At 38.9% G+C, this 23,065-nt stretch overlaps 1 protein-coding gene and 1 long non-coding RNA gene across 7 annotated transcripts in view; one reads left to right on the top strand and one right to left on the bottom strand.

The window, feature by feature from the left end:
- The window catches only part of EDNRA (endothelin receptor type A), a 63,858-nt gene continuing 40,793 nt past the window's right edge, over positions 1–23,065 (bottom strand). For 3 of the 6 annotated variants that reach the window (NR_045958.2, NR_148964.2, NM_001166055.2), the window contains 4 exons: positions 8,926–9,078; positions 5,005–5,138; positions 4,470–4,578; positions 1–2,477 (listed from right to left, as the gene is read on the bottom strand). Coding sequence is in view for 3 of the 6 variants with exons in the window: in NM_001166055.2 (NP_001159527.1) it covers positions 2,337–2,477; positions 4,470–4,578; positions 5,005–5,138; positions 8,926–9,078 (537 nt within the window). In the remaining 3 variants the exon portion in view is untranslated. Of the gene's footprint in view, positions 2,478–4,469; positions 4,579–5,004; positions 5,139–8,925; positions 9,079–12,250; positions 12,450–17,404; positions 18,459–23,065 lie in introns of those variants that run through there. The other 3 variants (NR_148963.2, NM_001957.4, NM_001354797.2) reach the window with 2 other exon arrangements.
- On the top strand, positions 5,137–19,825 carry LOC124900795 (uncharacterized). Its single transcript, XR_007058311.1, has 2 exons — positions 5,137–5,302; positions 18,423–19,825. It is a non-coding gene; the product is annotated as an uncharacterized LOC124900795 (long non-coding RNA).

The raw sequence follows: 23,065 nt of genomic DNA, 5'->3' as shown, positions 1-23,065 counted from the left end.
CAAGGTTTCTGTAAACTTTTATTTTACACTTATGGGCCACTGCCAACTCAGGGCCTTGGCTTCTGGCTCATTTCTACAAAGTTACTTGTTGAAAAGATGTAGTAAAGGTAGAAATTGGAAATATTCCTGCTAGTAAACCACAGTTACTTACCAGTCCATAAATAAAATGCACGTTGACGCCTTCAGAAATCTATGACTTTCTGAATTTATAAAATGCATTTTTTTCATATGAAAGAAACAAAGCATCTTGAAAAAAAGACAATTGTCTAAACAAAATGGTGTGAACCTATGGCTTATATTATAGGCATATATCACTGCATATGATGCGCCAGTGGAATAATAGATTTGACTGCTAACACACAAAAGGGCAGTACTTCTTAGCCTTGCAATTCAAGCAACTGGAACCTGATGTTATTTTACCTGTCCTAAAATATGGCCCAACAAATTATCTTACCTAATTTATTATCAGCAATCTGTCTGGCGAAGTCTGAAAGAAATATCAGACAACCTGGCAATTTCATCACCACATTGAATTGAGGATAAGAACAATATAATACTTCAAAGTGTAATGACTTTTGCTCCAGCACAGGAAACAATATGACCCCAAATACTGCTTTATCAAACCAACCAACCAAACAAAACCCTATATTGCTAGTCCACAGCTCATCTGCTTTCACGCTGCCTCTTATATCCCATTTGTAATGGTAACATGATTACAAGATTTATGAATGCAGAAGGTTGCTACAGGTTAAAATGGACTGAGGCAGGTTGTCATGATGAACAATCACCTAGATTTTACTCAGACTATGCACTTTGGCACAACTGCGGGGCACAATTATTAGATTAGATTAAATCCATACATACCATCACACACATGCATATATCACACACACAAATATATTCCACAGAGACAGTCTAGAAAAATGGGCTAAAAGAAATTTACAATTGTTTATATATATACACACACACACTAGTAAAAGATTTTCTGCTGTACTCACAGTCTGTAAACATCTGGGAAAATGCCCAGCAAAAGTCACTGTGGGCCCTTTGAAATGGTGACAATGTGGGAGGGAGATGTTGGGGTGGGGAGTTAGGTTCATACTGAAAACCCCAAGAAGTGAAGAATCGTAAGTTCTGGTGGCATTTGTGGGTAATTATTTTTCACTGACATGATAAACTCATCTGGCCACTTCAAAATTATGTTTCCTATATGGAAAAGGGAATGATCAAAAAAGACTTACTGCCAGTTAACATTTTAAGAAAAATTAAGAGAATAGGAGGTGATATGTATATACATATATATGTCACTATTACAAATACCTGAATGAAAATTTCTGAATCATCTGAAAAATTCGATCTTTTTCTCTTAGGTGTGTTTTAGACTTCTATATACAGTGCACTGAAAGTCTCAGGCAGAGTTAAATGACACATACATTAACATTTTGGTACTTGACATTGATTTTTCATACAAAATTTACATGAAAAACAGATTGAACTTGTGAAAAAGAACTATCTGATTGAAGCATTACTTTTGAATTTAACATACAAAACATGTTCAAGGTCCCTTGTAATAAAACACCATTTAAAAAATAAAATACAGTTCTTAAAAAATTCTTTGAGTAACATCTATTAAACTGCCAAATGTGTCATCAGACTGTGCTTTAAGGGCCTGTAGTATTTGTTGTAGCTTTAGAATTTGTGTTTTAAAAAAATAAACAGTGACGTGGAAAATACTAATCTAATTGCTCACCTGAATACTATTTTTGTCTTTTTTTTTTCAAACTATGTGTAAATAAGTTCAAATAATCATGTTAGGCTATTATGCAGTTAAAAAATACTGGCACCAAATGACATTTCAAATAAAAGTGACTTGAGCCCATATTGTGTTTGGCTGAAGGACAAAAAAATCACTTAAAAAAAGTAGAAAATCTTGTCGTTAATCTCTAAAGTTTCATGGTGACCAGTTCCCATTGAACATTCACCAGAACTGCCATAAAAGCTAGCCATGTACTTGAAAGCTCTATTTTCATGCAAAAGTAGTAAATATCCTTCTGGTTTCATTTAACAGTCTTCATTCTCCCCCAGCTCCCACCATTTTTTAGTGCTGAATACAACACGCAGAATATGTAAATTAGATCAATTAAAGAAGTACGATTCGTAGATGTTGTGGGTGGATAAACCAGTCTACCCTTGCGGTTTTGGAAAGCATTTCTTCTTGGGTGTGGGAGTGAATTAAGGAAGAAGGATCAGAGAAGAGATTCCCGGACTCACAGTTGCCTTGTGATTTTTTTCTCCGAGAGGATTATGGGAGTACCGAGGAGTGCTTCTAAGGGTGGTCAGTTCATGCTGTCCTTATGGCTGCTCCGGTCTGTGTTGTGGTTGTTTTGATCGTGGTTCTTCCACTGGATGCTTGTTCCGTTCATGGGGACCGAGGTCATCAGACTTTTGGACTGGTAACAGCAGCAGCAGAGGCATGACTGGGGGAAGGAACAGACTCGAAGTAAGGCGAGCCTACCAGCCCATTCCCGGCCAAACACAGCGGCCCTGGGCCATGCTAATGAGGGGCAAATGTCCATTCGCATTCGAGGGAAGTGAACCTTGACAGTAACCTAGAGTGGAGAGCCTGTTATCACCAGGCAGGAGTTACACTGTCCATTCCAGTGCAGAGAAATAGAACCCTTGTTTCTCATTTTAATTTTATTACCAAGTGCAAGAGAAAGGGAAGGCACTGTAGGTGAGAGGAAGGGCTCTCCACAGCTTGGGGCAGGCACGGGTAGGGCTGGGCTGGTGGGGGGGTCCTAGCGTTTCTTCAGTGTGCACCACCTGTGTGGCTCTCCGCACCAGGTACCTTATCAGATCCTCACAACAGCCTTGGATGTTCTCCCATTTTATGCTATTCCCCCATTTTATGAATGAGGACAGTGAGGTCCAGAGAGGATAATGAGAGTTAGAACTGGAATTAGAACCCAGGACTCTCTAGATTTGGGCTCTTTCTCTTGGATATACTGCCTTTTTAGGAAGATTCATCAAAAAGTGGGGTTAATTTCTGATAATTTTTACCTTGATTTTCCCTCCCCCAATGAATATGTAAATTAATGAGTAAGTAATAATTAATTTCACCTTATATAATGTACTAATTTTAACCTGCATGTTAGTCAATCCATTTTGGGCTGAGTGTTTTGTGACTGGCAAACATTTCCAAGAAGACCTCAGAAATACGGCCCCAAACTTCCATACCGAGTTTCATCTGTTTGTGTGATTCCTTGGTTAATATATGTCTGCCTCTGTTTAGACTGTAAGTTCCATGCAGGTCGTTACTGTGTTTTTCCTCTCTACTCTGTCCCTAATAGTAATCAACTCATATTGAGCACTTATTATTTCAAGCATTTTACATATATTACCCTCCTTATGAGAGAGATACTGTGATCATCCAATTTTATAGGTGAGGAAACTGAAAAAGCAAGAGAGGCACTACCTGGGGTAGATAGTTAGCAAGTGCAGGGCTGTAATGTCCATCGAGGCTCTTTGCTTCCAGAGCCTGCATTCTTGACCTCTACCGCACTCTGCCTCATATGTACCATAAGCTAAAGTTAAACAGCCTGGTCCAAGATAACAAAATCCAGTGAGGATTAAGCCTATGCTAAAATGATTTCAGGAACCAGAAAATTACACATCAATAAGACAGGCTTAGAGCTTCTGAAGGACATGGGTGGCTGAGCTGGCTGGAGGTTTGAAAGCAGAAGGAAACTGATTTTGAATAAAATTATATTTGTTCAGATTCCCACAGCAATAAGCATTTACTTTCCTTGAAGATTCTATTACTAAGTACACAATTAAACAGCATTTAGTGAGACCTTTCTTTTTTTTTTTTTTTTTTTTTTTTTTTTGAGACTGAGTCTGGCTCTGTCGCCCAGGCTGGAGTGCAGTGGCGCTATCTCGGCTCACTGCAAGCTCCACCTCTTGGGTTCACGCCATTCTCCGAGTAGCTGGGACTGCAGGTGCCCGCCACCATGCCTGGCTAATTTTTGTATTTTTAGTAGAGACAGGGTTTCACCATGTTGGCCAGGATGGTCTCGATCAGTGAGCGCTTTCTTAACAATAGAGCTTATATTTTGTCAAGACTTTGGTTCAAGTCTAAGACAAAGTAAGGTATGAATAGGTCTTATGTACTCTCTGTGGCCTGGAGCATACATTGAAACATTTCTCTCTAAAGGAGGGTTCTAAACTGGCATGTGATTTAGTCCTTTTGATTTTAACCTCTTTGTATGTGGTTGTCTAAATAGGAACTGCTTTTCTGTTATGCCGACAATCTGACTCTCTTTCTGGGTAATAAAACATGATTTTCACTTCACTGCTAAAAAGTAGTATAGCTGATCAAAGTAATATTACAACTGGAATTGGCTGTGTCTGTTGACTGTTTAATATACTCATTTTGTTGTCTTTAAAAAATACTTGAAAAATCATCTTACCTGGAAACAATTTTTAAATTTCTTGCTCACAAAATACAGAGCTATGGGGTTTATACATGAATTCATGGTTGCCAAGTTAATACCGATGTAATCCATGAGCAGTAAGAAACTAGAGCAAAAGAAAATGGTGTAGAATAATTAGAATATATTGTTTTAAAATCTGCTCACTAGCATTTCTTCCTAGAATAAGCATTTTTCTTGCCCAGAAGCCATTTCGTATGGGTGGCAGTTAGAATTTTGTAAAAAGTGCTTGTTTAAACGGCAGTTTCAGTTTTGCAGGACAGTTACAGATACATCACTAGTTGGTTAGCTCAAACCCTTATGCACAGCCTCAGGAGGGGAGGGGCAAGATAACAGATGTGGCTTGCACACATTTTGGGATCAGTTATAGGCTATGTCAGCTAAAGAAAAAAATCAACTTTGCAGTTTTAATTTTCAGGGCTAACGGGCATGTAGAGTAGCTGGTTTTGTAAAAGTATTATAAATATGAAAATCTGAGAAACTCCAATTTTCTAGCGAGTACACAGGATCATACCTAAGTAATTCACATCGGTTCTTGTCCATCTCGTTATACACAGTTTTCTTCAATATACGGCTTAAATGAAGAGGGAACCAGCAAAGAGCAAAAATTACAACCAAGCAGAAAACTGTTTTTGCCACTTCTCGACGCTAAAGGAAAGTGAGAAAAAAATAGGACAACAAATTTAGTGTTTTTATACTAGATGCAAGAACTACAGTACCAAGAAGTAGCAGACACCAGAGAAAGAATAATTCAAAGAAGAGCCAGGAGAACAGCCTGGCTTACACTGCCTCTACCTCTTCAAGATTCTAAGGTCAGTGTTCTAACGAAGGAATTGCTAATGATGCTTCTGGGCAGCTTCCAGGAAGGATGGGGGCCTCAGGTTGGTTATTAGGGCCAGGACGGAGGTTATATGCCAGGAGAGAGGTGGAAACTGGCTGGAGGTGAGCCAGCTGAGTCTGCAGCTGTGTGTGTGTAGGTGGCTGAGTCTGCCTGTGTGTGTGTGTAGTGGGGTGGAGTGTGACTGCATGGGGGAAAGGGTTAGCTAATGACTCTTAATAACAGGTAACTAATTAGCATTAATGATGGCATGGAAGGCAAGGAGACTGAACATCACATGATATTGCATGGACAAATCAACAAAGACCTGGAGAAAACAAAATAGGAGTGGGGAGTAGAAAAGGAAAAGTCATAGCACTATGTTTTTTCCTTTTCCTGATCTTGAACATAGCTATTATTGGGATTTTTTGCTCTTTAAATTCTTTTCTTAATGACATGTAGTTTCTTAATGACATATAAAAATATTATATGTTGTTTGCAAGCAGAAGGATGAGGGTAAAGGATTATCAGCAGTGATGACTAGAAAATCTGAAACATGCTGACCTTGGACGGACTTCATGGAAGGTTTGCATGCCTTTCAGTCTGCTCAGGATCAGAAAATCTATAAATTAGGAATTATCTGCAACCATTCATTGGTGTGCATTATTTGAGTATTATATTGCATGCATTTAGAAGCCTGACTAGGAACACAAAATGCAACTTGTCTGTAACTGGGATCAGTTAATGTCAAAATAAAACTGATTAAAAACAGGGTCTGGAAGGGTAATGCTGGCTCAACCTGAAACATATAACATTAAGTCCGGGAAGCCTACAATAAACTCACATGATTGGCTGAGCCATTCAAAATATTCTGGGGCAGTTTTCATAACTCGCTACTCTAGCTAAAGGAACTGGGAGTTCTTTAACCTCTCATAGTTATTGGGCTAGCTGGGATATGGCTCCGGAGTAATGACTGAGGGAAGAAATAAAATATTCAAATCTTCAGGAATGGGGGCTCTTTTTAAAAGGGTCATTTTGTGTGTCCAGAAAGACAGTGTGCCCAGAAAAATAGAAAAGCAGTGTATTAGGGGAGAGGTTACCTTTCCTGAGTGCATACTCAAAGAGGATAACGCTTTTAAAAGCAGTATTAGTACACTGCCATGATAGTCTGATATTTGCTTAACCAATATCCATTCTCCTGTCTTCCTTACCATCACTCTGGTCTTGATTTGTTAAGGCAGCTGGGGAACCTGGCCTAATTATCTACATGGCCACTTGGCAGGGTTTTGACCCGTTAGATGAAATAGAAACCATTGCATGGGTTTCCGGAAGAGCTACTGAGAAGTATAGGGACACTCTTTTGATGCACACCCATGACGGGTTGTTTTCTGTTCTTCCCCTCTTGCTGCTTGGAAATCAGATATAAAAGTAGAGCTGCTGCTACAGTCTCCTGAGACTGAAGCAAAGATCAGCAAAACAGTAGATACCTGGCCTCTAACTTGGCTTGACCACTAAATCTTGATGTCTGAACTTTTTGCTATGGGAGAAAGATAAACTCCTTCTTGGTCAACTAACAGTTATTTTGGGTTTTGTGTTCCCAGCATCCGAACACAACCCCTACTTGATAAAACTGTCATCATTATGATGAGGAGAAATTAGAGACAACCAAGCAAGAAGCAAAACTATGAGCCCCACAGAGTATTAGTCAAGATGGCAAGGTTTTGTGCTCTATGCTGTTTCTCCCGCAGTCCCATCTGCAGGACTTTCAGCCACACTTGCTCTTCTGTACTTAGGATTTGCTACAGATTTGAGTGGCACCAAAAGGAACGTTAACTGCATGAGGACAAAATCTTGGGTTCTAATCTCCATTTGGTTGAGCAAACCTCTAAATCACCTGTATAATAAAGAATATATATCCTACTGATCTCAGAGGGTGCTTGGAGGAATCAAATAAGAAAAAGACATGGAAATGGAAATGCACTTTAAAAACTTAAAAAATGCTGTGTAAACATGAAGCAGCATATGACAATTATTTCTTTCCACAATTAAATAATTAATATTATTCCAAAATTAAATAATTAACTATTTAATTATTTCCACAGCAAATACCACTCATAGCTTAAACAGGCTCAATCATGGTGCGAATGCAAAAATCCATATTTTAAAACACTGTTTTTCACAAACCCATACTAACTACCTCCATTCCAAGAATGAGAGGAAATAATTGTAAACATATTAAGCAATTGGAGTATTTGAAACTTTCATGCCTGAACAAAGTCATACTAAGGTTTCTCAATGTAATCTTCTTGCTAAATGTCAATGAAAGATAATAGCTACCATTTGTATGGCATGTTAGATTTTATAAAGTACATGCATACACATTCATCCTTTTGATCCTCATAATACTATTGATTCATATATTATGCCCAATTTACAGATGAAAAGCTGAAGCTCAGAAAAATCAGTATAGTAGTTGAAGAGTTGCTGATGAGGAACTATGCTTGCACATGGTAATTATATAGGACAGATTTACAGACTCCATCAACAACTCACATTAACTTTTGGTGTAGTTGGCCACCATTATATACTTTTCTGTTGCAACAGGGAACTTACCTGAAGTCCTAGGTTTCCTCTTAGAATTAATGTAAATTAACATTTGCTTAATACCTACTAGGAGCTGGGTACTATTAGGCACCTTATATGTCTCAGGTAATCCCCATGATGTATTATTACATACATATTATGAGAAACTAGAAGTTCAGAGAGATTAAGCAATTTGCCCAAGGTCAGAGAGCCAAGTATGAGTCTAGTTTTGCCCTTGAAAGCCCACAGCTTTATCTGTTCTAATTTCACCCAGGAGGGACCAACATTAGCCTCCTATTGACATGTTCAAATTCCTTCTAGAACTTTGGGTCCTCCAACACTTTACCTCTTCTAATGTACATGATCCCATTTCCTAGCATAAGTCTCACATTAGACATTGCTCTAGAGAGGTTCATCTCCTTTTTCCCATTCCCCAAATGCATGGTTCCTATTCCACGTTCTAACTAGACTCCTGTTCTTCCACCTGAAATGCTCTCTGTCAACTTCTTCCCCATCAAATCCCACTTATCCTCCAAGGTCTGGTTCAATCCCCCTCATCCATGAACAGCTTCCCCATGACTCTATCTCATACCCTTCCTGGCTTTCCATAGCACAGGCTACTTTTACCACACCTGTGGTTCTATATTCCAGTTGTTTTGCATGCATATTTTATTTCTACAACAAGACTGTAAATCTGCATGGGGAGAAAGTTACATGCTTTTTTGTGTCCTGGTACAGTTTCAAGCCCAATTGAATGCACGAACTCACATACACACATGCTCAGTACACTCTTGGCAAAATAGAGGGATAGTTCTTCTCTATTTGGGCCCAGCCTTCAGGACCACTTGTTTTACAAGCAGGTTTCCCATTTTACAAAAGAAATTTCTAACACTATTACTATAAAGAAAACAGTTACAGGATAGTATTTTTATTTTAGGAAATCAGGCTAATTCTACTAAAGATGGTATTTGCAGGCCTGCTGCTGTCAAGGACTAACCAGTCCTGGCCAGATTTTCATGATGTTATGGGATTTACCTGCTTAAGATGTTCACTGAGGGCAATTCTCAAGCTGCCATTCCTTCTGTTCAACATCTCACAAGTCATGAGGGTGTAGAAGATCGCAGTGCACACCAAGGGCATACAGAAATAGAACCCGAAGAGCCACCAGTCCTTTACATCTTGGTAGAACTTCAAAGTGAAAAAAAAAAAAAGAGAAAAGGAGGAGCAGAGTCATGTCAATTAACCATGCTGTGCCTCTGGTAGCTTTAAGGTCTTTAAACTTGCAGATACATCTGTAAAATCATGCTCTCTGGTTGCAGTGATGGGTTTGGGAGTGGGGCTCAAAACTCAATTCAGTTGGAAGCTTCAGAAATTATCCTGGCTTTAAACAGCACATAAAGAAACTGCACTTACAAAAATTATCTTGACAAGGATACTTGATACTTTTCATAGATTGAAGGTTTCAACTACACAACGGAAGAGCCCTAATCAATAAAAATAATGTCCTTCTAAAGCTCATAAAACATGATTTTGAGACAAAAGAATATACATGTTTATCTTTATTTCTGGATGAACCTCAAAATTTTGTTAGCGCCTGCTTTACTTTTGACTATTGTGGTGAAAGTGTATTTAACCTGAAACGGTGAAGGTTACGAATGGCTTATCTGTGTAGCTTTGGTTAATAGGGGTTAACCCTCTGCCTGGTATGCCTGCTATGTGACCTTAAAGCCAGCCGCTTTGAACTTCAATAGCTATACTCTTCTCCCTCCTTTAATACTTACCACCTGGAAACTATTGAGGCAGCATATCTCAACTGAAGCATATCTGGTATTATCTAACTGGGCAGGATTTATAAATACCGAGATTATTCGGTTTTACTTCTGCTTAAAGAAGAAAACTTAATACCCTATAAAAATGGAAAATGAAAAATGATATCTAAATTCTTCTTCCCACAAAATTAATCACCAACTTGGGACGAAATGCTTTTTCTTTCCTTATAGTGCTTCTTCAGATTGTTAATTTACTAAGGACAATGCAGTTCCCACAGTAAAAAATAATCATGTTGCTCTGTAAAAAATGGGACAGTTTCTGAATATAGAAAGAGGCTAAGAAGGCTGCATTTATAACATGGCTATTAAAATAATCTAAAAATGGTTCCTAAAGACAAAAAATTTGGGGGAGGAGTTCTTGACTATTTTTATGCCACAGACCCTTTTGGAAGTCTGGTAAAGACTATAATCCCTTCTGAGAATAATACTTTTACATGCATAAAATAAAATACATAAGATTGCAATGGAAACCAATTACATTAAAGCACAGCTATCAAAATATTAGAAATTAAATTTAGATATAGTAATATTGTGTTTATTCACAAATAACAAACCTAGTGATGGTTCTAATAACTACCGAACTGTTGAAGTGTTGAAGTTCTGAAGAGCATAAATAATATTTTGAGATTATACAAGTGTTATATCGTATGAAAATGTCTGCTATTTTTATTACTGAAAAAGTCATGATACTGGTAAACACTATGGTGATTTGTTGGGTACATTCATAATAGAAGGAAATAATAAATTCAGTTAGAAGTTAGTGAAAATAAACATGTTGTTTCTTTTCCAACCAAGTTCACAGATCCCTGAATTCTATCCTCAGGTTAAGTGCAAACTCCCAAAGGAGTTGGTTTATTCTAAACTGCTTACACAAACATTTCCCTGTTCCCAACACACTGTAGAAAGATTTCAGTCCTGAACTTAAAAAAAGTCAGAAGCACTCTCTCTCTCTTTTTTGAAGTGCAACACGAACACTCCTTTGAGCACCCATTCTCCCTTCTTTTGTATCCTCTTTTTCCGGGTGCATTTGCTGGCTGGGTATAAATGATGCAGAAACAGCTGCAGAGGGTCTAGAGGCTGACCCTTGAGAGGGCTGAATGGAGTCCCCTGCCCCCTCCATGGCAAAGGCCCACAGAGAAATGGGTAATGCATCTCTTTGGAACTGATGTCATCAACATGGGTAGAGAGGGGCCTACCATCAGTCTAGGGTAAAGTTGAAGAGCAAGAATGGAAAAAATAGGGGAAATAAATTTAGAAAAAGAGAACAGGACTTCAGACTTGGAATGAACTCTAAAAAATTATCTGTTCAACTCATACCCTTTACTGCAACCGTCTAGCCCACCCATGCCTGAAGGGTAGCTACCCTTTACTTGAACACGTCTAGATAGGAGACAGTCTTTATGAAACAGCCCATTTCATTTTGTCTGGCTGTAAGGATTAGTAAGCTCCTTCTTATAGTGAACCTCTTTTCTCTAATGTTTGCATCTGGAATATCTAGATTGCTTATTCACACAGCCCAAATTCTGACAATCTCCTACTGTCTACTTTGTTTTTCACTTTGAAGACTAACCCAGTAAGAAACTTCAATTTTAAGTTGTTAGTTTGGCAGTTTTCATGAGCACTTTTAATTTTAAAACAAGAATTTCCAAGCAGGATAACTGGTCAACTGTAAAACCACGAATTCTGTGAATTTTCCAAGTTGGGAAAGCATACCTTGAGATGTCTGTAAATAATTACATGTGGAATGTGAGCTACATGAAACTTACATCAAAGCACTAAATTATACTGATTTAAGAGAAATAGTTATCCTTTTGGTTTTCCTCCTCAGTCCACATGTAACTAGTTTTGCAAAGAAAAGATGCATTTTAAATAGGTTTCCCAAAACAGTCATGTGATTAAGCTTTTCAGAAAAACATTAATATGGTCAGGTGTACTAAAAAAACCAACAACTGAATTTGTTAAACCAAAATATTATTTTAAGAAGTTCTACAATTTTATATTATTTGTATATTAGACATAGAAACCGTACTAATATAAGTACATGTAAGTACTACTCTCTACTTTGAATTAGTAAATCCATCTTTAAAGAATGTGAGAAATGTGCTTCTCCCCAAGTGACATAAGATAAACATCAGCACGTCTTCCAGATGGAAATTGTTGTGTTGTATTCATTATTATAAAAACAAATAGCATATGTATATATATATATACACACACACACACACACACATACACACACACACACACACATCTAGTCCCTCTTAGTAAATTTGCTTTGGTATTCTTAGTGGTTTGGTGCAGAATAACAGATATGTCTACCATTGTGGTATAATACAAGAGTGAAAGCCAGCATAACTGTTCTATTCAAGAATCTAGACACAGGTTTAACATCTACTTTTCATGCAACTGAGGAATATTTGACAGAAGAAACCACACTTGACATTGTGGCGATGTCATCAAGTCTCAAGATGGTGAAGTCTAACGGAGGACCTCCTCCCTTCCCCAGTTAATTCCTTTTAAACGTTTAGTACCTCCATGAATTTTGATGTGGCATTGAGCATACAGGTTTTATGCTGTTCACCCCTATATTCAAAGGGTACCATGACGAAGCCAATCGCTTCAGGAATGGCCAGGATAAAGGACAGGATCCAGATGGAGACAATTTCAATGGCAGTTACCAAAGGAATCCCAATTCCCTGAACACGACTCCAGGAGGCAACTGCTCTGTACCTGAAAAAAAGGGTAATGGAACCAAGTTGTTAGGAAATTTTAAATGTATTTCAATTAAACAAAAATTGTAAGTGCTGGGAAGTTCCTCCTCATTGCCAATACCAGTAATTGTCTTTTTAGGAATTTTCTGAGTCTTGGTATGAAAACCAAGTGGGTTTTTTTTTTTTTTTTTTTTTTTTTGAGGCAAAATCTCGCTCTGTTGCTCAGACTGGAGTGCAGTGGCACCATCTCGGCTCACTGCAAGCTCCGCCTCCCAGGTTCACGCCATTCTCCTGCCTCAGCCTCCCGAGTAGCTGGGACTACAGGCGCCTGCCACCACGCCCGGCTAATTTTTTGTATTTTTTTTTTTTTTTTTTTAGTAGAGACGGGGTTTCACCGTGCTAGCCAGGATGGTCTCGATCTCCTGACCTCGTGATCCGTCTGCCTCGGCCTCCCAAAGTGCTGGGATTACAGGAGTGAGCCACTGCACCTGGCCTTTTTTTTTTTTTGAGACTGAGTCTTGTTCTGTCACCCAGGCTGCCAGGCTGGAGTTCAGCGGCAGGATCTCAGCTCACTGCAAGCTCCGCCTCCCAGGTTCACGCCATTCTCCTGCCTCAGCCTCCCGAGTAGCTGGGACTACAGGCACCCGCCACCACACCCGGCTAATTTTGTTTTTGTATTTTTAGTAGAGATGGGGTTTCACCGTGTTAGCCAGGATGGTCTCGATCTCCTGATCTTGTGATCTGACCGCCTTGGCCTCCCAAAGTGTTGGGATTACAGGCGTGAGCCACCACACCCGGCCACAAGTGGGGCTTTTAAGAGTTCCACCCATTTGGAAATCAACTGCGTGGCAGGCCTGAGTCTGAGGTCTTTATTTGGTCTAGAGAAATCTTAGGAGAGTTTAGAATGTGGCGGTAACAGACAGTTGTGCCTATGTTTTTTAAGCTGGGGGAGAAATTGGATGGATGGGAGGGATCATGAAAGCTGCTGGTACTTGTTATAGTAATATGTTATTCCTCTTTATAAAATAAAAAAAGAAACCTTAAAGCATTATCTATGAAGTGGGTCTAGATATCCTTGAGTGAATAACCACCACAGATATTCCATTGTTTCCTCCCTTCTTATGTGAGCACAGTGGGCTTGTACCAGGTGGCAGTTTTAGTAAATACCTATTTGTGGTAAATGTCAAAGAGGGATTATATCACTCCCATTATGGCCCTGTGCTAGAGCAGATAAAACTTATTTAAAGATACTTTGGTTCCTAATCTTTAGGGTTTACAATCTAACAGAAAAGAATGGTTCAAACAGAGTATATAACATAAATGTGACTGAATGATTATGTCAATCAAAAAACTGTCTGATAATAAGAAATTATGCTCACCCTATTTTTTACTTCACTATTTTAGTGATAATAATCACATTTAAATGTTATGTCTAAGGAAGGTTTGGTTTAGAAATTCTATGTTCTTTGACCTGATGTGAAGGTCTAATGCTAACTGCTTTTAGACTTACTATTAAGAAGAGACCTGTGACGTGGTATGGTATTTTTGTGGCCTCATTCCTGAAATTTTTGTTGCTGCCGTAATGGAAAAGAAACATTTTCGTTTTATAGTTTTCATTAGATAGTGCCAGAAGGCTGTAAAACAGACCGAATGCATTGGAGACAGGTGCTCATGGGTTTGCAGGACATGCAAAGTAATGTAGAAGATTAATCAATAAAGCCAAGGCAACATACAAGCTACCCATATCCACCAAGACAAGCCCCCATCAGTTATATTTAGTGTACTGTCTCAGTACATTTACACAGTACATCTGTGAAAACACAACTCTTAGAATTATGTTGACTGTTTCTTCACCAGAATTCCCTAGAGATGAGCATGTACAGATTTGGGTATTTTACGATGATGCCACATGGCATATTATATAGCACAATTTACTGGAGAAATGTTTTATAAAAGATTTTTAGGGTAAATAAGATTTGTGTACAATACAAATCTCAAAAAAGTCCAGATTATTTCAAAATGGGATAAAATACAGCTATGCAAACAGACCAAGAAAATCCTTTTATGATATAATCAAGATTGAATTTTAAAATTTATGGTTATTTCCATAAATTGTCCAGTGGGATAAAAATCATTGTTTATTTTTCTTTGTTCCCTTGTTAAACTGGCAGCCTGATACCCAGTAAAGCTAAGAGGAATGGAGACAGGATGTCTATATCCCAAGGCTGTCAACGGAGTTACATCTATTTCTTCTTCCCTTCTCTCAGGTTGTTTACCAGGGAAGGTGATTTAAATAAAACACCCTGTTTCATTAGAGAGTAAGAAAACCTGATTTCCTTGCCAGGATTTGGGGTGAAAAGTGGCTTAAGGAATAAAATGTGGTCAACATGTTCTTATGATGAACATGTTCACAGACCAACTTCATTTTTATAAAGCGCCATGAGTTCCCAGAATATTACACATCCATAATCCAATGTAAATTCAACATTCACAAATAAGTAGAAGTCATTTTTAGAGTCTAGTTTAGCAAATAATTCATGATCAGTCTGCTCCTTCATTAACCCACTCACTGAAAATTAGAATATTTTCCATTTATAATCACACAGATCTCGATAACATCTCCATGAGATAAGGGGAAAACAGCCATAAGAACAATTAGGAACAATCATTTGTGATAATGGAGGTGGGGAAATGTATGGAAACCATGAAACACTGGATGTTTCAAAACTGATTTCTATTTTGAATATAATGGCACAACACACTGACACACAAATATGCTTTTCTCATGAGGTGCGATTATAAATAGCCTTCCATCTAGTCAGTATGTATATACATCTCTCTCTGTATATCCATGACATCTTCAGTTGTCATGGAAAATCTGCAAGTGTAGATTCCACCACTGACAACTGCTGTTCCAGAAAGAATCCCTCCTCTCTGAAATGCTTTCTTCACTTGATTTCCACCACAATCTCCCAGTTTTCCTTCTGACTTACTGGCCATTCCTTCTCATTTACCTGGCTGGACCCCGCTTTCTCCACAAATTCTTAGTATTGGATTTGTCTGAGGGCTTAGTGCTCAGACGTTTTTTCTGTCTATGCGCTCTCCTTTGGTGATCTCATCTAGTCTCGTGGCTTTAATGTCATTTAACTATCCATCTAGCGGTAATTCCTAAATTTATACCTCTAGCCTGGTGCCTCACCTTTAACTCTAGACTTGTACCTCCAACTGCCTACTTGCGAGCTCCACTAGGACACCTAACAGGCATCTAAACACTCCCAAATCAGACTCCTTGTCTTCCTTGTGGCTAAACCTTTCTGCAGTTGTTCCCATCTCTGGCCCCAAACATTGGGTTAGATTTCACTCCTCTTCCACCACACATCCAATCCTTCAGCAAATCTTGCAACAACTTCCTTCAAGATATATCCAAATGCAACCACTTTTCACCATCGTACCTGTTATCGCAGTGCCTTGATGATTGCCATAGCTTCCTAACTGATCTTCCTATGTCCACCTTGCTTTGCCACAGCCTCGTCTGAACATAGCAACTGGAGTGAGGCTGTTACGTCAGAACATAGCAACTGGAGTGAGGCTGTTACGTCAGACCATAGCACCCTCTGCTCCAAACCCCCCAGTGGCTTCCCACCCCTGTGAGAATGCCTACAGGTGTCCTCAGAGCTGCTTCCTCACTTCCTTCCGGTTTTTACTCAATTGCAGTTTTCACAGAAGCCTTCCCTGGAGACCCTACTTAAGTTTGCCAACTCCCCCTCCAGAATTGTCTCTCTCACCCTGATTCATTTTTCCCCATAGCACTACAATGTGACCAACAATGTTCTATTTATTTATTTGGTTTATCATCTATGCTCTCCCCTCTCCTTTAGAATGTAAGTTCCCAGCCGGGTGCGATGGTTCATGCCTGCAATCCCAGCACTTTGGAAGGCTGAGGGGGGCGATCGCTTGACACCCTGGGCAACATGGTGAAATTCCATCTCTACAAAAATACAACAATTAGCCAGGCATGGTGGTGCATGCCTATATTCCCTTGGGAGGCTGGGGTGGGAGGATCCCCTGAGCCCAGGGAGGTTGAGCCTGCAGCGATCCCTGATCATGGCACTGCACTCCAGCCTGGGTGACAGAGTAAGACCCTGTCTGAAAAAAAAAAAAAAAAAAGAAAGCAAGAAAAGAAAAAAGTGAAAAAAAGCATATAAGCTTCATAAAGGCTGACATTTTGTATGTTGGTCACAATACCTAGAACAACAAGTGCCAAATAAATACCTGTTGAATGAAGTGTCTTTTTGTTGGCGTTTTCATGCCTGTTACCATGCATGTACCTTACCTCACCTTAATTGGCTAGGGAATTCTTAATCTCTAGGGAATTCTGGTGAAGAATCAGTCAGCATAATTCTAAGAGTTATGTTTACACAGATGTACTGTGTAACCTTACCTTACCTTAATTGGCTAAAGCTAATAGCACACTACATTCTGATCATTTTCCTATTTTTCAAGCTAGCCATGAATTAGGCCACAGATTAAAAGCTAATACTTTTAGAGGACCAGATTCAATAATTTAAAGGAGGGATCTATGGGCTGATCTTTCTGCCCCATATGTTCCAGTTGGGAACCTGAGAGCTGGCATCTTGTCGCATCCTCTGCCTGGTCTCCAGTGAACCTGGGGCGTCTGGACCATGGCTCAGGGCTGCCAACTCCCGGTAGAGCCTTTTTGCATTATATCACCTTGTACCCTGTCATGTGATAGGCCAAAATAAAAGTATAAAATATATATTTTATTCATGTAAAGATGTTTGTTAGTGCGTGTGCCTATAAATAGATTTTTACATGTTATTAAGGCCAGAGGCATTTAATGCATGTTTATTGAATCTTGAAGGTGTGGTCTGGGATAGTCATTAAGTTTAAAAATGTTTATTCTTGAAAGAACTTTAAAACATTATAAAATAAAACAAATTAAAAAGATACCACTTCAACAAAATCTATTTTTTTATTCTTTTCTTGTTTTGATTCTCACAGGCATAGTTTGAATAGACTATAATCATATGACTCACAATTTTTAAATTTTAGCTTTATTTACATTAAAAATACTCTCCTATGTTTCTACACGGGCGTGGCCCTTATCAATTTAATGGCTACACAGTATAACAAGATTTTGATATAATTTACTTGAATTTTTTTTCTATGTTCACATCATTTCTAGTGTTTCACAGCTGTGAATAAGACGCCTATAAGCTTGTTTGTACACATAATTTTTTTTCTCTTTCTGAATGATTTTTCTGGATTAATTATCTTGAGTGGGATTACTGGATCAGGGAATAAATAGGTGGCTGAAGTGCCTTAAGAAAGAAGTTTCTACCAAGTGCCTGTTAATGAATGCTTGCCTGTGTTAGAATTTATTATTTATTCTTATTTACCACTTCCATAAGGTACAGTGCCGCCCCTATCTTTACCTCTGCACATCTTTAATTAACAGCAAACTTGATCATTTGTAATGGTTGTTAATGATTTATATCTCTCATACCATATGGAGGTTTGGAAGCTAAATGCTAGCAGGAAGAATTCTTTTTTAGAGATAGGGTCTTACTCTGTCATCCAGGCTGAAGTGCAGTGGCACAATCATAGCTGTAGCCTCCAGAACCTGTACTCCCTTAAGGGATCCTCCTATCTCAGGCTCCCTAGTAGCTGGGACTATTGGTGCCCACCACCATGACAGGCTAATTTTTAAAAATATTTTTTGTAGAGACAAGGATCTCGCTATGTTGCCCAGGGTAGTCTTGAATTCCTGACTTCAAGCCATCCTCCTGCTTCGGCCTCCTAAGGCTGAGCCACTGCAACTGCTTGGCCAATTCCAATTTAGAAGAGAATCAGGTGTGGTGAATTAAAAGACAGCTGCAAATGCTTTACCACTTCTTCAGTTGAGTTCTTAAATTGAGCTGGCCTGTGACTACTTTGATCAATTGAGTGTGGCTAGAATGATGTTTTGCAGTTCCAGGTCTGGCCTCTGAAAGGAGCCTTGAGCCTGCTGGAGCAAAAACAGAGAGGACCCTGAGACTACATGGAGGGGGAGATGGGCTCTGCTGAGCTCAGACATCCAGCTGTCCCTGCCAAGGTGCCAGGCATGTGAGTGTTGGACCTCTGACACAAGCTCAGAGTCAGCTGAAGTCCACCAACCCCAGGTGACGTGACAAGGAGCAGAAGAATTGCCCAAATTCCTGACCTTCAACATGGTGAGATATGATAAAACGGTTGTTGTTCTGAATTGCTAAGTTTTGGGGTAGTTATCAAAGAGAAGTGGGGTAGCAAAATTAACCAGTTGCCTGATCTTGACAATAGAATAAGATAAAAGAACAAATAACTCAGTACGATAGTGAACAGACTCCCAAATAAGATCCTATTGCCCTAGCCAGCCTTGGACTTTGTCCAGTTCCCTGCTCATGTCTTCTGGCTCAGACCCTTCCTCTGTGTCTTCACTATTGTCATGGTGCAATAGAAAACCATAACACCAGGAAAATAAGGAGAAACCAAGTCCAACTCTAACAAAGAGGTTTTTCTGAAAACCACCTTCATGTTTCTTGAGTTAGGATATACCTTTGAGAATATCACAGAGACCACTGATCAATTATTTGAAATGATGGGTTCAAGAACTGACATCAGCTTTTCAGCCATATAAAACAAAGCTGCCTCATTAATGGATCTTTGCAACTTTTCCAAGTATCTAATAACACATCACTCTGGAATAGTTGTTAAAAGAGTTTTATCTTTTTATAGCCTTCTTCCCCAGGCAACTTTTAACAAGTTGGATCTGTACCCAGACCTTTTTACTGGTCTGACCCCATCATCATCATCTTCCACTTTAACACGATTTTGCAAAGATCAACAGTGATCCCTCCTACCCCTCTCCTGCTGCTGCTTTTTTTTTTTTTGCCTCCAAACAAACTCAAAGTAATATATAAAACTTGTCACTTTCAGCATGTAAAAATAACTATTTTAATAGCTGGTAATGGCTGGTTATTCATTTTTGTTGGGAAAAGTTTATTCATTATAGAAGTATACTGCCTTAGAATTAAAAAGATAATTCAACAAGAAAGCTGGATAGGGGTCAAAATTTGTTTCTGAATTTCTTCAGTTCCTGATTTGTCTTTTTCTCAAATGACCAAGGATGTGAAACTAGATTTGCGGAGGAATTATTCAAAAGGTTAAACTGAGACAAGTCCATAGTTGAAATTAGCAATGAAAGCCTATCCATTCTGGCAGAAATCATGTGCTTTCTCTCAGTCCTGTTTAGCTTATTCAGATTAAAAGCTGATAGTGAGAAAGCTAGATATTTTCTTTGATCTTACATCATTCTGTAATCATTGATTGACGAAGTAATAAAGAAATCCTATAGAACTTGGATGTAAGGTTTCTCTCATTTTCTTTCAAACAACTCTGAAATGTGAGATAATTATGTTTTTAAAATACTGTGTAAAAAAATCATGGGAACTCTTTGTCCTGGGCCATAATTTATTCAGCTCATAAAATGAAAGCAGGGATTCACAAACTGCAACAGGTTCCAAACTCCCTTTTCATTCCTTGTTTCATTTTAAAAAGTGTTTTTTATTTTTTATTTTTATTTTTTTTTGTAGTAGTAGAATATAATGCAACCAAATTAAGAGTTAAAGCAAATGGAATCTTATCTTCAGGAATTAAGTGTGAATGATTCATTCTCTCGTGTGAAAGCTTTTGAAATAGAAATGTCAAATAGATTCCCTACATACAAGTCCTGAAGCTTAGGGTCAATACCAAATGAAATGTAAAAATAGTAAAGTGTGTGTCTAGGGAACAAAGAATGATTAGTTTATTTTCAAGGAAAGACCTTTTGGATTAAGGCTGATTTTTGTGAGAGTGGAATTTTAAAATAGTTCATTTCCTTGATCTACAACTCAGATCAAATCTTAATGAGATAGATTCTTGGCATCATTTTTTCTTACTTTCTTTTCTTTTTTTTCTTTTCTTTCTTTTCCTTCCCTCCTTCCTTCAGTCCTTCCTTTCTTTTTAACTAAGAATGACTCACATTTCATTTGATACACAACTATTTATCGTGATGGAACATCTTATTTCTTTTTCTTCATGCATGAGATGAAGAGAGGAGGTGGTATTGGGTGAGGTGACCCGACACTAGATATAGGAATCTATGACCTAACTTTCCCAGTATCTCCCCGACTCAACACTGGGCATGACTGAAGCTCCGCATGATGCTCCTAGATCCCCCCAAGGAAGAAAGAGGAGGCAGAACAAAAAAGTGAGGAGGAACCAGCTCTGCACCCTGGGCCTGTGGGAGGAGTGACAATTTTTCCTAGCTTACTACTTTTTTTTTTTTTAAGTTTTATGAATGTTTAATCCAAAGGTTTTAAAATACTATATCTTAAAATACATTTATAATTTTGTCCAGCATTTCTACCATTCTTTTAAAGTTCAGAAGGGTCTTCCTTCCCTTTCCAGAGATCAAAAAGATAGTCTATTTTCTTCTACTCCTTTATGGTATAAACAAAAATAAAATTCTAAGCCCCTCAAATGACTGAATGGACTCCTCCTCTTGGCCAAGGGGATTTCAAAGAAACCTAAAATACGAGTTCAGGCCATGATGGGAAGGGGATGTCAGACCTGCCTCTTCATACTTTCCTCTCTTTGGAATTTAGGCACAACAGGCCAGCATTAACGTTAGAACAGATCTTAAGACTAACAAAACAGGACGGGCGCGGTGGCTCATGCCTGTAATCCCAGCACTTTGGGAGGCTGAGGCGGGTGGATCACGAGATCAGGAGATCGAAACCATCCTGGCTAACACGGTGAAACCCCGTCTCTACTAAAAATACAAAAAATAAGCCGGGCGTGGTGGTGGGCACCTGTAGTCCCAGCTACTCGGGAAGCTGAGGCAGGAGAATGGCGTGAACCTGGGAGGCGGAGCTTGCAGTGAGCCGAGATCAAGCCACTGCACTCTAGCCTGGGCCACAGAGCAAGACTCCATCTCAAAAAAAAAAACAAAAAAAACAAAAAAACAACAACAACAAAAAAAAACAAACACCCAACAAAACAGACTCTCTGTAGCAGTGACATACCAAATCCCAAGCACACTCTAGTATAGCATCACGTGACAGAGAGAAGGCCCTGAAAGAAATAGAAGTATTTCACTCCAAAATATATTTCTTTGACCTATTTTGAAATGGCCCTGTATAGGCATCTCTTGTGGAGAAAATTTACATTCTGTAGATTATTCCCTTCCATTTCCAGGTCTTTTCCTGATCCAGGAGAGATTTAACTAAGAGTCTGGCACCTTTTAAGATCTGATAAGAGGCATTTACTATCTATTCTCATACTACCTGGAGGCTTCATCTACATAGAACCTTGGCTTCCACAACCCCCTTATCCTAACCCCAAGCACTTCTTGTCAGCATTTGCTGACTTCAAATCTTTAGACAAAACTTAACTCTTTCAACTAAATGCCAGTCAGGAAATCTTTGAATCCACCTGTGACGTGGAAGCACCACCCTGCCCTCCTCACCCAACCTCCACTTCAAGATGTCCCATGTTTCCAGGCCAAACCACTGTAAACCTTACGTGTATGGATTTATGTTTTTGCCTGTAACTTCTGTCTCCCTAAAATGTATAAAATTAAACTGTAACTCAACAACCTTGGGCACAGGTTCTCGGGACCTCCTGAGGCTGTGTCACGGGTCATGGTCTTCACATTTGGTTCAGAATACATCTCTTCAACTATTATTCAGAGTTTGGCTTTCTTCATCAACAATGGTTTGAGTTTTTACATGCTTGAGTATAGTGGTTAAGAATGCAGACTACCAACATTTGATTAGTGGCTCCAGCACTTAGTAGCCATGCTGACTTGGTTAATCTCTTTCAACCTCAGCTTCCCTATCTGTAAAGTGGAGATAACACACCAACTATCACAGTTACATAAACTAATTTTTTTTTTTTTTTGAGACAGAGTCTCACTCCATCCCCCAGCCTGGAGTGCAGCTGCTGTTGTCTAATCTCGGCTCACTGCAACTTCCACCTCCCGGGTTCAAGCGATTCTTGTGCCTTAGCCTCCCAAGCAGCTGGGACTATAGATGCCTACCAGCATGCCTGGCTAATTTTTGTATTATTTGTAGAGATGGGGTTTCACCTGTTGGGCAGCCTGGTCTTGAACTCCTGGCTTCAAGTGATCTGCCCACCTTGGCCTCACAAAGTGCTGGGATTACAGGCATGAGCCACCTCACCCAGCCCTAAACTAATTTTTGTAAAGTATTTTCAATAGGGCCTAACACTTAGTAATATTCAATAAATGGTAATAATTATAAATATTATTATTGATATGTACAGAAGACTTTAACATGCTTTTTCCCTCAGATGGCTAAATAGCATAATTTATTGATAAATCTTTCCTCCCCCGATTATATTCAAAGTGATTTCAGCCTATATTATTAATACATTCTTGTGTATTCCAGCACCTGAGTCGAGTTTTCCCACTGATTTGTCAGTGTGTTCATGGGTTTGCATTACATTGTTTAAAACATTGTAGCTTTATAGCATTTAAAATGACCATATAGGCCACTGCATTCTAGTCCGGGTGACAGAGCAAGACCCTGTATT

This window comes from Homo sapiens, chromosome 4, assembly GCF_000001405.40.
Source record: "Homo sapiens chromosome 4, GRCh38.p14 Primary Assembly".
NCBI classification, from domain to species: Eukaryota; Metazoa; Chordata; class Mammalia; order Primates; family Hominidae; genus Homo; species Homo sapiens.
This window is presented reverse-complemented; position numbering and strand designations above follow the sequence as displayed.